The following is a 15,221-nucleotide window of genomic DNA, read 5'->3' on the forward strand; positions in this document are numbered from 1 at the left end:
AAAGAATGTTAAATATCTCAATAATTTTTATTATATGATGAAATAATATTTTGGATATATTAAATTAAATTAAATATATTATTAAAATTAATTTCAGCTGGGTGCAATGGATCCCACCTCTATTCCAGCACTTTGGGGGGCCAAGGCAGGAGGACCACTTGAGGCCAGGTATTCAAGACCAGCCTGGGAAACATAGCAAGACCCTACTTCTGGAAAAAATTAAAAAATTATCCGAGCATGGTGGCACATGGCTGTATTCCCCACTCCTTGGGAGCTTGAGGCAGGAGACCGCTTGAGGTTACAGTGAAATACAATTATGCCGCTGCACTCCAACCTGGGTAACACAATGAGCCCCTGCTTCTTAAATAAATAAAATTTAAAGATTAAATTCACAGAGGCTGGGCACGGTGGCTCAAACCTGTAATCCCAGCACTTTGGGAGGCTGAGGCAGGTGGATCACAAGGTCAGGAGTTTGAGACCAGTCTGGCCAACATGGCGAAACCCTATCTCTACTAAAAATACAAAAATTAGCCGGGTGTGGTGGCATACGCCTGTAGTCCCAGCTACTCGGAAGGTTGAGGCAGAAGAATCGTTTGAACCTGGGAGGTGGAGGTTGCAGTGAGCCGAGATCACGCCATTGCACTCCAGCCTGGATGACAAGAGCGAAATTCTGTCTCAAAAAAAAAAAAAATTAATTTCACCATTTCATCTCTCCCCATCTTTCCTTTTTTACTGTGACCACAGGGAAACTTACAATTATACAGGCGATTCCAATTCTATTTCTTGTGGACAGTAGATACCTTTACCCCAAGATGGGCCATGTGATGGCAGCTGTGTGACTGCATGAGAAATCAGCACTGAAACATCACAGTCACCACTCTACAGGCTCACCTTGAATTCCCCAGCAGGGTAGAAGCCACAAACCCGCCTCTGCAGCGTCCCACCACCCTCCCTCGTCCCACCACCCTCCCTCGGTTAACCACATCCCCAAGTCAGTTACATAAGCCCTGGTGGGACGTCCCTAAGGCAGCCCCTGGGACTCGGGAAGAGGGGAACTACAGGGACCCCACCCTTCCCCAAGCAATTCTTGCATGACTTCGAGGAAGTCTTCAGAAACCACAGGCTGAGGACGCTTTGTGAAGAAGGTTAAAGAAGGGGGAACAAAAAAATCAGAGACTCAGAGCACGCCAGCCCCCAAGGCAAAGAACAGCTTTTCCCGAGCACTCTGTGATTGTGTACTGCATACCAGACCCAGACCCAGCCCTCCAGGCGACGATGACAATCAGATGGAGACCCGAACCAAGCATGGAGTGGACACTCAGAAGTCTGTAATACAACGCTGTATGTGACAGTGCCACAGCAGGAAGGGAGGAATGGCAGGGAATGTGAAGGAGAAATTATTTCCAGTACAAAGAACCAAGGAAGGCCTCTTAAAGGAGGAGGATCCCGAACTCAGGACTAAGGACACAAATGATTTGAAAACATGGGCTGATGAGGTGGGGGACAGAAGGAAGGATTTGAGACTCTAAAGACATTACAAAACAGAGTGCCTGTAGGATAAAGACATTACAAAACAGAGTGCCTGTAGGATAAAGACATTACAAAACAGAGTGCCCGTAGGATAAAGACATATTACAAAACAGAGTGCCTGTAGGATAAAGACATTACAAAACAGAGTGCCTGTAGGATAAAGACATTACAAAACAGAGTGCCTGTAGGAGATTCGATGATACCTCAGATCAAATTTTTAAAAAGGACTCCAGTGAAGACCTTGAATGAATGCCAGGCTAAACCTTCAACCAAAGTGGCCCAGGGACCTGCCCCTGCTGTGGACTCACCATGTGGCCCTGGGACCAGTCGCCCACTTCCACTCAGGTGTGCCTCAGCTACACAAGGAGAACAAGGATGCCCACCCTCCCTAGAGCTGACCAACTCACCCCCCCAACCCCTGCCCCACCTCGTGCCTCCAGGCCCATTAGTGGTTCTTAGTTCTTTCATGTGAGGACAGCCCTGCAGGGCCTCCGCAGGCCAAGCTGCTGGGAACGAGAGGAAGCAGAGGGAACCTGTCACCTTAAAAGCCACTCCACCCCCTACCCATAGGTGGCCTCTCCTACCTATATGCTTCACACCAACTCCAGGAGACAGGATGAATCCCACAGGATCCTAAAATGGGATTTGTATTTGCCTTTTTAGGAATTTTTTAGTATTTCAATTCAGCAACATTTAAGGGTAAACTCTCTTCTCCCAGTTCTCTCTGCTTCAGTTATGAATCCCTTATTTCTTCAAGCAAGAAAAGATGCTCTTTTGACGGCCTTCTGAAAGGTGGCTGCTGTACCACGGGCCCAGCACCTCTTCACACCCTCTGCCATGTATCTGATGAGTTCCAAATAAGAGAACCAGATCTCTACAAAGGAAAAGAGGAAGCCCATGTGAAGCTGCCTTTGAGAAGAACATGTGCTGTCAAATTCCGGACAAGCGTCTGAAGTTTCTGCGAGATTCCTTCTCCTGTACAGTGACATAGGATACATGTTTGCCTTGCCATATCACAGGTACAACTAATGTGAGGCCTCATTCCACATTTAACCCACAGAAACCAGATGCCATCTCTCCATAATTCATGCACTTACCGGTTCATTCACTCAAGTAAGCACTGGGCACCTGTCATGCCCCACTGTCTATTCTCTCTATTCGTTGTGGTCTCAAAGGGAGGCAATATCTCAGCTAAAGACCCTCACTTCCCAGCCCTCACTACAACTGGTCCCTCTGGTAAGTGACAGCTAATGAGAGGTAAATGAACACTGAGTGAGATTTCCAGGAAGGCTCCTGTTATGGACTGAATGTTTGTGCCCACCCAAATTTACATATTGAAGCCCTAATCCCTAATGTGATTATATTAGGAAGTGGGGCCTTTGGGAGCCATATTAGTCCATTCTTGTACTGCTATAAAGAAATACCTATGGGCCGGGCATGGTGGCTCACGCCTGGAATCCCAGCACTTTGGGGAGGCCAAGGCAGGTGGATCACTTGAGGCCAGGAATTCAAGACTAGCCTGCCCAACATGGTGAAACACCGTCTCTACTAAAAATACAAAAAAATTAGCTGGGTGTGGTGGCAGAAGTCTATAGTCCCAGCTACTCGGGAGGCTGAGGCAGGAGAATCACCTGAACCCAGGAGGCGGAGGTTGCAGTGAGCTAAGATCACACCATTGCACTCTAGCCTGGGTGACAGAGCAAGACTCTAGCTCAACAAAAAAAAAAGAAAGAAAGAAAGAAAGAAATACCTGAGACTGCGTAATTTATAAAGAAAAGAGGCTTAATCGGCTCACAGTTCAGCAGGCTGTACAAGAAGCCTGATTCTGGTATCTGCTCAGCTTCTGGGGAGGCCTCAGGATACTTACAATCATGGCAGAAGGCAAAGGGGGAACAGGGCATCTCACAAAGTGCCTGGACTTGGATCCTGGGTGCGGGGAAAGTGCTACACACTTTTTTTTTGTTGGTTGGTTGGTTGTCTGAGACTGAATCTCACTCTATCGCCCAGGCTGGAGTATAGTGGTGCGATCTTGGCTCAATGCAACCTCTGCCTCCCGGGTTCAAGTAATTCTCCTGCCTCAGCCTCCTGAGTAGCTGGGACTACAGGTCCATGCCACCACCACTGGACAGTCTCCCTGCCAGCAATACATGGCAAGAGTAGCTGCTAAGACACCAATAATAATTTTTGTATTTTTAGTAGAGACAGGGTTTCGCCATGTTGGCCAAGCCGGTCTCAAACTCCTGACCTCAGATGATCTACCTGCCTCGGCCTCCCAAAGTGCTGGGATTACAGGGTTGCAGGTGTGAGCCGCCACACCCAGTCGCTACACACTTTTAAACCAGATCTCATGAGAACTCATTGTCCAAACAACAGTGCTTGGGAGGTGGTGCTATACCATTCATGAGCAACAGCCTCCATGATTAAATCATCTCCCGCCAAGCCCCACCTCCAACATCGCTGATTACAATTCGACAGGAGATTTGGGAGGGAGCACAGACCCAAACCTTATCAGGAAGTAATTAGGGTTAGATGAGGTCCTGAGGGTGGGACCCTCATGAGGAGATCAGTGCCCTTGTAAGAAGGGGAAGAGAGGGAGATCTCTCCCTCTGGTGCACTGAGGAAGCACCATGCTGTCAAAAGGTCTCCTAGGGAAGATTCTGCAAAGCAGGAGTGTATCAGGCAGCAGGCCAGGCCAAGACAGGAAGCACCAAAGAGTTTACACACTTATCTAACTGAGGAAAGTTTAACTGCGACATTGCTTCTCAGTGTCATCACAAAACACAGGACTTCCAAAGTCAGAAACCAATCAATTTCACAATCCCGGAGAGAGCTGGCTATCTGGTTCTCACCATCATATGAAAGATGACACCTAGAAATCTTTGGTACAACCGATAACATTTTACCTTCACATCGTAATAAAGGCCCCAGGCCCTGGTATTTAATACATTATTTGAATAGGGCTCTATGCTCTCAGGTCCTGTGGTGTGCACAAGTCATGCAGTGATTCACTCACAGCAGAGAAACCCAATGAGCCAGCGGAAGAAGTGAGGCCCTGCTTATAATAGTACTAAAGAGGAAAATGTTAGCAGAGCTTGGTTTGAGGTATAAGATGCAATACAGAAAAAATGTTAAATACCTTCATGACTTACAGACACTAACAGCTTTCATGGGAAGAGCTCCATGGAGAAAATTTTAAAAGGCAGCTTATGGGCTGGGCGCAGTAACACACCTGTAATCCCAGCACTATGGAAGGCCAAGGCGGGTGGATCACTTGAGGCCAGGAGTTCAAGACCAGCTTGGCCAACATGGTGAAACCCCGCCTCTACCTAAATACAAAAATTAGCTGGGCATGGTTGTGGGAGCCTGTACTCCCAGCTACTCGGGAGGCTGAGGCAGGAGAATCACTTGAATCCAGGAGGTGGAGGTTGCAGCAAGCCAAGATCGTGCCACTGCACTCCAGCCTGGGCAACAAAGTGAGACTCTGTCTCAAAAAAAAAAAAAAAAAAAAAAGCCTGCTCATAAATGAATGTGATGTGACCTTCATTAGACACTGTGACTATGAAGCCCTTAGAAATGTGGAAATGTAGAGCATTCCACGAAGGGTCATCGGCAAAGGAGGTGGCGGGTAGAGAAGCCTGGCATTGTTGAGGCTGCAGTCATGCCCCTCTGACTCAACTTCCACTGTTGCCCACAATGGCTCTTGGGGAGGAACAAGAGCATCTGCACATTTGCATTGGCTACAACAAAGGTCCAAGACAGGAGGGAGTTTACAGACCTCCCAGTTCAAGCCCCTCATTTTTCAAAGGAGAGCCCAGAATAGGTGATGTCACATAGCTGTTTAGTGGCCCCCCAGAGCCAGGAAGCCACAGCCCCTGACCCCTAGTCTGGAGCTATTTCAGTTCAACCATGCAGTGTGTACCCCCCGGAGTAACTCATTAACACAGTCACCAGACAATTGGACGGTCTCCCCGCCAGCAATACATGGCAAGAACAGCTGCTAGGGCACCAAAGACAAGATGGAAACCCCACTATGCACAGGATTGCTACCTCCTGCCTGCGGCTCCCGTCCTGAAGCCTTACGCGGGTCCAGCTGACAGGCCCGTGGTTAGCTCCAGCAACTGCAAAGGAGGTGGCTGCCCAAAGTCATACTCTAGCAGGTGGTAGCTCCAAGTCAGGAAGAGAGCTCTCAAGACCAGACCAACCTAGTATCTGACTACTCACAAACCTACAGGTCTGGATACAGATGATTACAAAGGAGAAAATAATCATAGCAGTTACTGCTTTAGCATTTATTCTGTTTCAGATAATGTGTATAAAGTGTTCTGAATATAGTACATTTATACTATATAGTATATAGATATAGTACATCATTTAAGTCTCAAAATAACCCGACAGGCCTAACCCAGAGCTTTCATTCTAAATTTTTTTTTTTTCTTGAGATGGAGTTTTGCTCTTGCCACCCAGGCTGGAGTGCAATGGTGCGATCTCGGCTCACTGCAATCTCCACCTCCTGGGTTCAAATGATTCTCCTGCCTCAGCCTCCCAAGTAGCTGGGATTACAGGTGCCCGCCACCATGCCCAGCTAATTTTTGTATTTTTAGTAGATACGAAACAGGGTTTTTTAGTAGATACAACGGGGTTTCACCATGTTGGCCAGGCTGAACTCCTGACCTTAGGTGATCCGCCTGCCTCAGCCTCCCAAAGTGCTGGGATTACAGGGGTGAGCCACCACACCCAGCCTCATTCTAAACTTCTATTAAACACCACTTGCCGGTGCTGCAAACTCCTGACAAAGAAGTACCAGTCAAGGCAGCGCAGCCTTAGCTCTCCACACAAATCAAGGACACAGTGGCCACCGTCACACAGGTCGGGATGGGCAGGGAGGTTTGGAGGGTATAAGATTTGCAGAGACCGCCAACGAGGAGCAGAGGAGAAGTGGGGAGAAGGCCTGCTGCTGTAGGAGCTGAGCTCATCCCCAACCAGAGTCCCGAAAATGGGGTCTAGAGAGGCTGATCCTGAAAGCCCTCATGCCTGCCTGAGCTTAGCCTCCTACCCCCCACCACACAGTCTCACCTGCTCTGAGGAACAACTTGGACCCCATTCACAGGGGAGCCAGGAGCATGAATGAGATGCAGAGAGGCACGGGGCAGGCAAAATTTCCCCACCTAGAGGCACAGGCCTCCTACTGCCTTCCCCACTCCCCTTTCTAAATGTCTTAGTACTTAAAATCCAAAAGGACTCTGGGGTTTACTTGGGAATGGTTGGGCTCAGTATGCATACACCCCCCCAGCACTTGGCCAAAGCAATGATGGAGCAAAAGAAGCTTCCAGAACCCCCTGGATGCCTGGACATGGATTGGGAGGAAGGAATGCCCCACTTTCTTCTAGAGAAAGTTGGAAAGATACCAGCCCAGGGCGAAGCAGGCTCTGCGTGAGGTGAGCAGTGACCCTGCAGGCACGGGGTGGCAGGACCCGGAGGAAAGAGAAGCCCCAGCCAAATGACAGGTCGGCCAGCTTCTACCCCTCGTGCTTCGCTGGAGGAATCTCACCCCCACAGGGCCCGGGGCAAGGCCCCTGCTCGATGGGGGCAACCACTTGGTAGGAAGCCTCTGTCCTTTTTAACTTGATACTGTTTTGTCCTTGCCTCTTTACAGTGAATGTCACAGGCACTGCTGGAAAGAACCCCTCCCCCGGCTAGAAGCTCATGAAGAAAAGCATCAGAGGCCTTTCCAACCCAACCGAGGAAGATCAAAAACCTTTGAAAACATGGTCAATAACCCCTGGGGGGTCTCAGTGAGGGAGGGATGGGCAGGACAAACATCAAAATGGACAAGAGACAAGGATGTCTGTTCTCAACTTTATTAAAGCCGTGGTTTTCTGCCTATATTCTGAGGAATCCCAGGGACCGGCAGTTCATGGACTGCCTGAGTCCTTCCAACCTGCAAGCTGCCCATCCTGCACTCCCCCTTCAACTCCTGAATGATGCTTCATTGAAGAGGACCAGAGATAGAAACTGGCCATTCTGATAGCACCGTTTCACCCCTGAGGATGTCTGGCATATATTTTAATCCAAATTATCTCAGAACAAAGTTTCCTTTGAAAACATCTTCTGGAGAGAATTCCATTAAGCCCATTTAGTTCCTTGATTATTTTTCACACCGAGGTGCTTCTAATTTTTCATTTTTATTTAGTCAAAATTATTCTCCTGAGGATTGATTCCTTTCTATTTCAAATAGATTTGATTGAATGAACAGTTTCATCCATATCAAATTTTACTAAATGTAGCTTGTGGCACGGAGTTTTTCATTATTTCTATCAAAATTTTCCTGAATCAGTTTCTTAAAGATCTAAAAATTTGGTGAGGCGTGGTAACTCATGCCTGTAATCCTAGCACTTTGGGAGGCTGAGGCGGGCAGATCACCTGAGGTCAGGAGTTCAAGACCAGCTTGGCCAACATGGCGAAACCCCATCTCTAATAAAAATACAAAAATTAGCTGGGCCTGGTGGCAGGCACCTATAATCCCAGCTACTCAGGGGGCTGAGGCAGTAGAATCATTGGAACCTGGGAGGTGGAGGTTGCAGTGAGCCGAGATCGCACCACTGCATTCCAGCCTAGGCAACAAGAGCGAAACTCTGTCTCGGGAAAAGAAACAAACAAAAAAAAAGATCTAAAAATTTGTCAAACATAGGGGACATCATTTTTTCTCGGTCCCAAAGGTTACCATGTACAGTCTGAGCCATTATCAGTTTAATAGTGTTATTTCTCCCAACAATGTATATTACAAAGTAAACAAGAAATCTATGGTATGTATCTACCCTTAGAGAAATGAGAAAACCACGGGCAGTCTTAAGAGAGACAGCACCTGCAGCTGTACCATAGACAGACTACAGAGCCCTTTAATATGTCGGAGCAGCAAGAGAGCTTTGCAGGGTTAGAAATATCAAGGTCAAACGGTTTTGTTCCAGCCTGAGCTTAAAGGGGAACTTTTAAAAAATAAAAATGTAAAAGCTACTACTTGCTTCAAAATACAGCTAGGAGTAAGAAGGGAGAGCTGGGGGTGGGGGTAAAGATGAAACAGGATTGCCCCAAGGTTGGTAATAGAAGCTGGATGACAAACATCCAAGGTTCCATTACACTGTTGTCTATTTTGCATATATTTGAAAGTTTTGACCCCAGTTTCTGGCAAGACAATCCCTACTGCCAACAGTCATCCAGACTAACCAGGGGTGAGTCTGACTCAAGGGTTTCGGTTGGGGGCATCAGGGAAGGTTCATCAAGCACTGAGCCCACCTCTGCTTATCTTCAGTACTAGACACCAGCCTGCAGTTCACCTCTGGACACCGCATGTTCAGACACAGCACCCAGAGGGCTTCCCATTGCACTCAGGAAGCACCGGTTCCTCTGCCTTAAGCTGGCACTATTTGTCACCCTACAGAATCTCCCTAATTCATGTAAAAGCTGGCAGGAGGATGGTCTTGGGCCTTATGTTTTCACAGGGCACTACTTAGCCTGAGTCAGTGTGCCTCGGCTAGTTAGCCGACTGATGTCTATGACCTGTCCCCACACTTCCATCCTTTCACAATTACAAGCAGCTTACAGGGCCTGCCAGCTACACACAGCAGGCCTCCGGGAACGACGCATCCCAAATCAAATCCTTCCTGTTGCTGCAGCAACCCCATAGATGCCAGGCTCTTCCTGCCCACCCTAGCCAGAAGGGTGCGCCCACATTCCTCCTCATCCTCCTCCCGCTCTCACCTTCATGCTCTAGCAGTGTGCCACCGGCTAGAGAATCGACTGGCCAGGTGCAAGGCAGGGGCCTGAGCTGGGGGTAGACAGCAGTACCCAAAAGGAAAAAAACCCCACAACAGCACCCCAGGGTACCACCACCAAACCTAGACTCCTCACCCACAGAACCAAATAACAGGGTCTTTGCGCTCAGGGAGACGGAGACAATGTAGACCAATTGTTTTATTTTCTAGGAGAAAACTTCAGAGCCTAACAAATAAATTGGCCTGCTCAAAGCATCAAGCCTGGGTATTCTATCAGCCCCAATCCAAGCTGCCTTCCCTGCCAGCCAGCCACACAGCCATCCCCGACATCACACTCTCGCACTCTCTCTGTCCCCAAAACACACACGCAACATGCCCCACCTCTTAATTCTTCAAATGTGTGCAAACTCACAGAGCTCCTCCACTGCGGTGGGTTTCCCTGAGCTCAGCAGGGCTGTATCTTCCTCCCTGCACGTCCACTCACAATTCTCTTCCATCTCTGCCTTTGTCCCCCACCTACACTGTCATTCCCAGGACCCACAAAACACCAGCATCTCTTAAGACACACACACACCAATCAGGGAAGCTATTTCATCCTCCACTGGGATGCACGATGCAGACCCAGGCCACGAACCTGGTCATTGCCTGACATTGTGAGGGAGTGGAGAGCCCTGCTTTATGCCGCACGGTGGCAGAGAACTGGAATATTGCACGCCGGGAAAGTCCATGTGTTCTGTAATTATGCCTCATGACATTCCTTTGCAGTTAATGAGTAGCTGCCGGTTTCCAGTCACAAGGGTGGAGCATAGGAGTGGAGAGGTGGATGTATAAAGAACTGGGATGCCAGAAGAGGAAAGAGCATCTCCCTCCCCTAAGCTATAGCTATAGCTAATTTTTGTATTTTTAGTAGAAACAGGGTTTCACCATGTTGGCCAGGCTGGTCAAGAGTGAAACACGGTCCCCCAACAAGAACACATTTTGATGCCGTGCACAAAACTGGCATTGATTTGACCAGGACAATTGGACCAGTGACAACTGGGCCACTATGAGGCCATGGTCTGTGTCAAGAGAACCAGGAAGAGCAGAGTATATCCCTGGCACCAACAATAACCATTATCTTGGGTCTACAACCTTGAACAAGGACCTGAAGGCATCAGATTCCCTTGGCAGAGCTCTGATCTCCCGACTCCTACCTCTCTCCTTCCTCTCCAGCAGAAGAACCAGGTGGCCAGTTGCTCCCTCCCCCAGTCCTGCCTCTCTACAGGTACACACTTCTCTGCCTGGGGGTTGCGAGCATAACACCCACTCCTCCAGTAACTGCTCCCCAAGTGCATGGTTCCACCTGCACCATGTGGACAAACAAGCCCCCTGTAGCTCTCCAATCTTAACACACCATAATGGCAACAAAAGAAACATTTTGGGCCAGGTGCAGTGGCTCACGCCTGTAATCCCAGCACCTTGGGAGGCTGAGGCAGGTGGATTACATGAGATCAGGAGGTCGAGATCAGCCTGGCCAACATGGTGAAACCCTTTTTCTACTAAAAATGCAAAAAATTAGCCGGGCGCGGTGGTGCATGCCTATAATCCCAGCTACTCAGGAGGCTGAGGCAGGAGAATTGCTTGAACCTGGGAGGCGGAGGTTGCAGTGATGAGCCGAGATTGCGCCACTGCACTCCAGCATGAGGTGACAAGAGCGAAACACGGTCCCCTCCCCCAAAAAAAGCACATTTTGATGCCTTGCACAAAACTGGCATTGATTTGACCAGGACAATTGAGCCACTATGAGGCCGTATTCTGTGTCAAGAGAACCAGGAAGAACAGAGTATATCCCTAGCACCAACAATAACCATTGTCTTGGGTCTACAACCTTGAACAAGTCACTAAACTTTTCAGATTGGAATGCCAAGGCCTCTGCTAACTCCAAGGAAGCCTCAGTTACAGTACTGAAAATACATAATTATACATAATTACAGCAGGGACCCATGAGGAAAGTTCTGTAATGCAGTATCTGGCTTAAACAACATACGCAAATTGTGAGCAGCAGACTAGTTAACCACAAGCTATGTTGCTTTTGCTATCTTATTTATTGCTGTGCAAGTTTGCAAATTTTCCATAATAAAAAAGTTTACAAAATTGCTTCTCAATACATTTCTTAATCAGCTGTTGCTTTGCTATTTACCTACCACACAGTTCTTTCTTTAAACTCGAAATTATGTCACTGGCTTAAGCAATAGCATAATTTGAGGGGAAAAGGGAGATCCATACTATTTATCAAGACAAAAAATAACCACGGTTTCTAGTCAAATGTTTTAAACCAATCACAATAAAACTTTTTTTAAACAGCTGGGGAAATTTGAAAAAGGCCTGGATACTAGATGATATTTAAAAACTAATTTTGTTAGGTGTAAAAATGTGACCTTTTAAAGGTTCTTACCTGTTAGAGATACATATCTAAATACTTAGGTGTGCAGTGATAAATCTATGAACAGCTTTAAAATAATCAAGGAAAAAGCTAGAGGGGGAGGGTGGACGAAACCTGATTGGCAAGAGGTTAACAATTGTTGACGCTGGTGATGGGCACATGTGGTCCACTGATTATTCTACTTTTGCAGAAATTCCATAATAAAAAGTTGTAAAGAAATATTTTTTGAAGGCGTTGGTTCATCAGTTATCACTTTTGTTCTTTACCTTCCACATAATCACAAAACTCAAGAAAACGCTTACTAAAAGAATAGGGAAAACCAAAAATATTTGTCAATGGTTGTCCTCATTAAAGGCAACATTTCAAATAAATGAGCAAACAAAAGTAAAACAAGACCAGGTGCGGTGGCTCACGCCTGTAATCTCAGCACTTTGGGAGGCCAAGGCGGGTGGATCACATGAGGCCAGAAGTTCAAGACCAGCCCGGCCAACATGGCAAAACCCCGTCTCTACTAAAAGTACAAAAATTAGCTGAGTGTGGTGGCAGGCGCCTGTAGTCCGAGCTACTCAGGTGACTGAGGCACGACAATCCTTGAACCCAGGAAAGGGAGGCTGCAGTAAGCCGAGATTGCACCACTGCACTCCAGCCTGAGCAACAGAGCGAGACCCTGTCTCAAAAAAAGGAAAAGAAATATCTAAGATTGCCAATGAGGGGAGGTAAACAGTCAAAATGTTACCCAAACAAGAGACAGGTTTACAAGGCTGAGCTGCTCATGGTCCCTTAAAGCCCATATTACCCACATGCAATCTTTTAAGATGTACGGGAAATGAAGGGGCCCAGCAATGGCCCCAATAGCCTGTTAGTGGCCACACCACTCCAGTTGTCCAAAAGTTCTCATCTCTAACTTCAGTCTCTTCTGCGATGATTTAAAGCTCTCAGCTCTTTCTCTGTCCCTAGCAGAGACAGAAAAACAACAAAACATGCCCACTTATAATTACAAAGCACTAAATCAGGATAGAGCACTTTCAAGGAGAGCCAAAACCAAACTGCAGGCACCTGGATAAGCCCTGTCCCTCCCCACAACTCCACCTCTACTGCCCTGATGGAGGGAGGATAAAGGAGCCAGGACAGGGGTGTTTATGAAACCTCTACTATATGCCAGGTGTGAAGCCACAGAGTCCAGCCCATAGCCCTGCTTAGAAGTATTGTCAGACCCATTTTACACCCAAAGAAACTGGTGAAGGCACTGGTCCAAGGTCACAGGGCTAGAAAGGAAGGAGACTGGGACTCATACCCAGGTCTCCGACTCTGACCACCTGGAGAGAAGAAGCACCAATGCAGGGCCCCATATTATCCCCCCTCTCCAGTGGTATATTATCTATTAAGTTTGACGTTTCAGTGAACCAGCTGCTCCTCTGGCCGTGCTTAAGTAAGCTTCACTGAAGCTTACAAGACTGACTCTCTAGACTGTAGATCCTGATGGGAACCCACAGTTTGATAAACTCTCTCCATGCCACCATCTGCACACCCATTTTGCCAAGCCCTCTCTCTACAGGGCATCCAAAGGCCTCACAATCCCTGTTCAACCCCTCCTTACTGCCTAGTTCTGGAAGCCTCTGCACATGTATCCAGCATGGGTTCTTTCCTGGATTATTTGTAAAGCTTTCTCACCACCTGCCCACTTGGCTGGAAGCGCCAATGTCAAACTTTCATAAGCTAATCCTGGGTGCTACTAGTCTCTATTTGGCGACTGCTTTCCAACACACTTGAAATAAATGGGTTCAAAGTCGTTAACATTCCTCGTGCCTCAGATGAAAATACTCAAAATAAATGATGGAGGGGAGTTATCTGTCAATGGCCCCTTCCCTGCCAGCTGGGATCAACAAAAGGAGCCTCTCAATTGGAGAGCTTCTCCATATTGGCCAGGATTGGTCTTTTGCCAGCCAGTACCTCACACAACAGCTTGGCCTCAGTCCCAGGGGATGCCATTTAACAGAGGCAGAGGACACACCCACTCTAGACAAAGTGACTTCAGTTAACACCAACTCACTCTGCAACTCAGAAGCCCAGAGCTTTCTACTCTTGGCCTATGAGCCTGGGAGAGACCCATAAAAGGTATGTGAAGGGAGAGGAGAGAAGGACAACTCAAACCCAGGGACACCAGCACACACTGGACGACCGAATGCCTGGTGAGTGCCCCAGACCCAGGACCTTTGGAGTTAAGATGCTACAGCAAAAAAGTCTGGCAACCCACAGCCCTCTCCTTTATGCATAGTACATAGGATTTCTAGGATCTCGTCACAGCAGTATTGCCCCTTGTGTCCTGGAAAGTCTTATGAGAGCCAAAACTGTGTTACTGAATTTAATTCCCATATTCTAGCACAGTGGCTGGTACACTGCAAATGTTTAAGAAATATTTGTATAATTAAGGTACCTAGCTATGGTAGAAATGATAATCCACAAACAACTCCCTTATGATCAATCGTTATTCATGCATTTGCGATTTTTTTCTCCTGTGACTCCTGCAATTAGATAAATGTCTATCTGGACAGGTTTATCCTTGAAAATGGCCACTTAGGGTGATGTAAAAGCTCACCTGAATAATCAAACTGTATACAGAAAGTCATGTCATATGAACGCCATTCTCTCAAGATCTAACTCATTCCCCGCTCCGCTCAACCTCACCCCTTCCAAGCTGGGCGATACATAACCCAGATCCCAATGGGGCTTCAGGAAATTAAGCCTGGGAAAAGAATTTACCCTCTCTGACTTCATAGGACCAAGTTTCTGTACTTCTTTTGTCAGTTTGCCACGTTATAAAATAGTATATGTGAAAAAATACTTTGAAAACTGCCCAACGCCATGAACATATCAGGAATACATCTCACGAATTATTTCACCATTCACTTGGTCTTCTCAACAAGACTGCAAACTCTTTGAAGGCACCGTGAGTCCTCACCACTAACATGGTAGAGAAGCTGCACTTAGAAACAGGTGCTCCGCCAAGCCCTCCAGTAGCCAGGAACATTGGCTCTTCTCTTCCCACCTCCTCCACGTTTCAGACTTCCCTGGGTCACTCAGCACTGTTTGTTGCCTGGTACACTTAAACACAGCCAAAGGAGCAACTGGTTCACTGAAACGTCAAACCCCTACCTCCAATCTAACTTTGCTTCTGGATCAGCATAACTTGGCTTAATTTTAACTATCACCTGCAAGAAGATCTGCAAAGGAATTCAAGGTCAGAGGGACACAGATGAAAATGAGGGCCTAATATAAACATGAATTAGCAAAACATACCTTTCTGGTAAGCACAGCATATGAAAAATCTGAGGGATCTATTATCATGTAAGTGGGAAGACGCTCGGCATGGCTGCAGCCGGCGGGCCCTGGCCAGAGCAGGCTATCAGAAACAGCATCAGAGCACAAGGGCATACACAGCTAGTGGCCCCTCTGGCTGCCGGAGGCCATACCACTTCAGGCCACCTGTGGGCCTGTGGAAG

General features: G+C 47.4%; 1 protein-coding gene across 9 annotated transcripts in view; it reads right to left on the reverse strand.

Annotated features, from left to right (window-relative positions):
• The window catches only part of SH3BP5 (SH3 domain binding protein 5), an 87,028-nt gene that overhangs the window by 16,649 nt on the left and 55,158 nt on the right, over positions 1-15,221 (reverse strand). Inside the window, exon 1 of one of the 9 annotated variants that reach the window (XM_047449244.1) lies at positions 2,115-2,378. The exons of 7 other annotated variants lie outside the window; for them this stretch is intronic. The gene's annotated coding sequence lies outside the window, so the exon portion shown is untranslated. Of the gene's footprint in view, positions 1-754; positions 860-2,114; positions 2,379-15,221 lie in introns of those variants that run through there. One more of the 9 variants, XM_047449245.1, reaches the window with a different exon arrangement.

The sequence above is a fragment of the Homo sapiens genome, chromosome 3, assembly GCF_000001405.40.
Source record: "Homo sapiens chromosome 3, GRCh38.p14 Primary Assembly".
NCBI classification, from domain to species: Eukaryota; Metazoa; Chordata; class Mammalia; order Primates; family Hominidae; genus Homo; species Homo sapiens.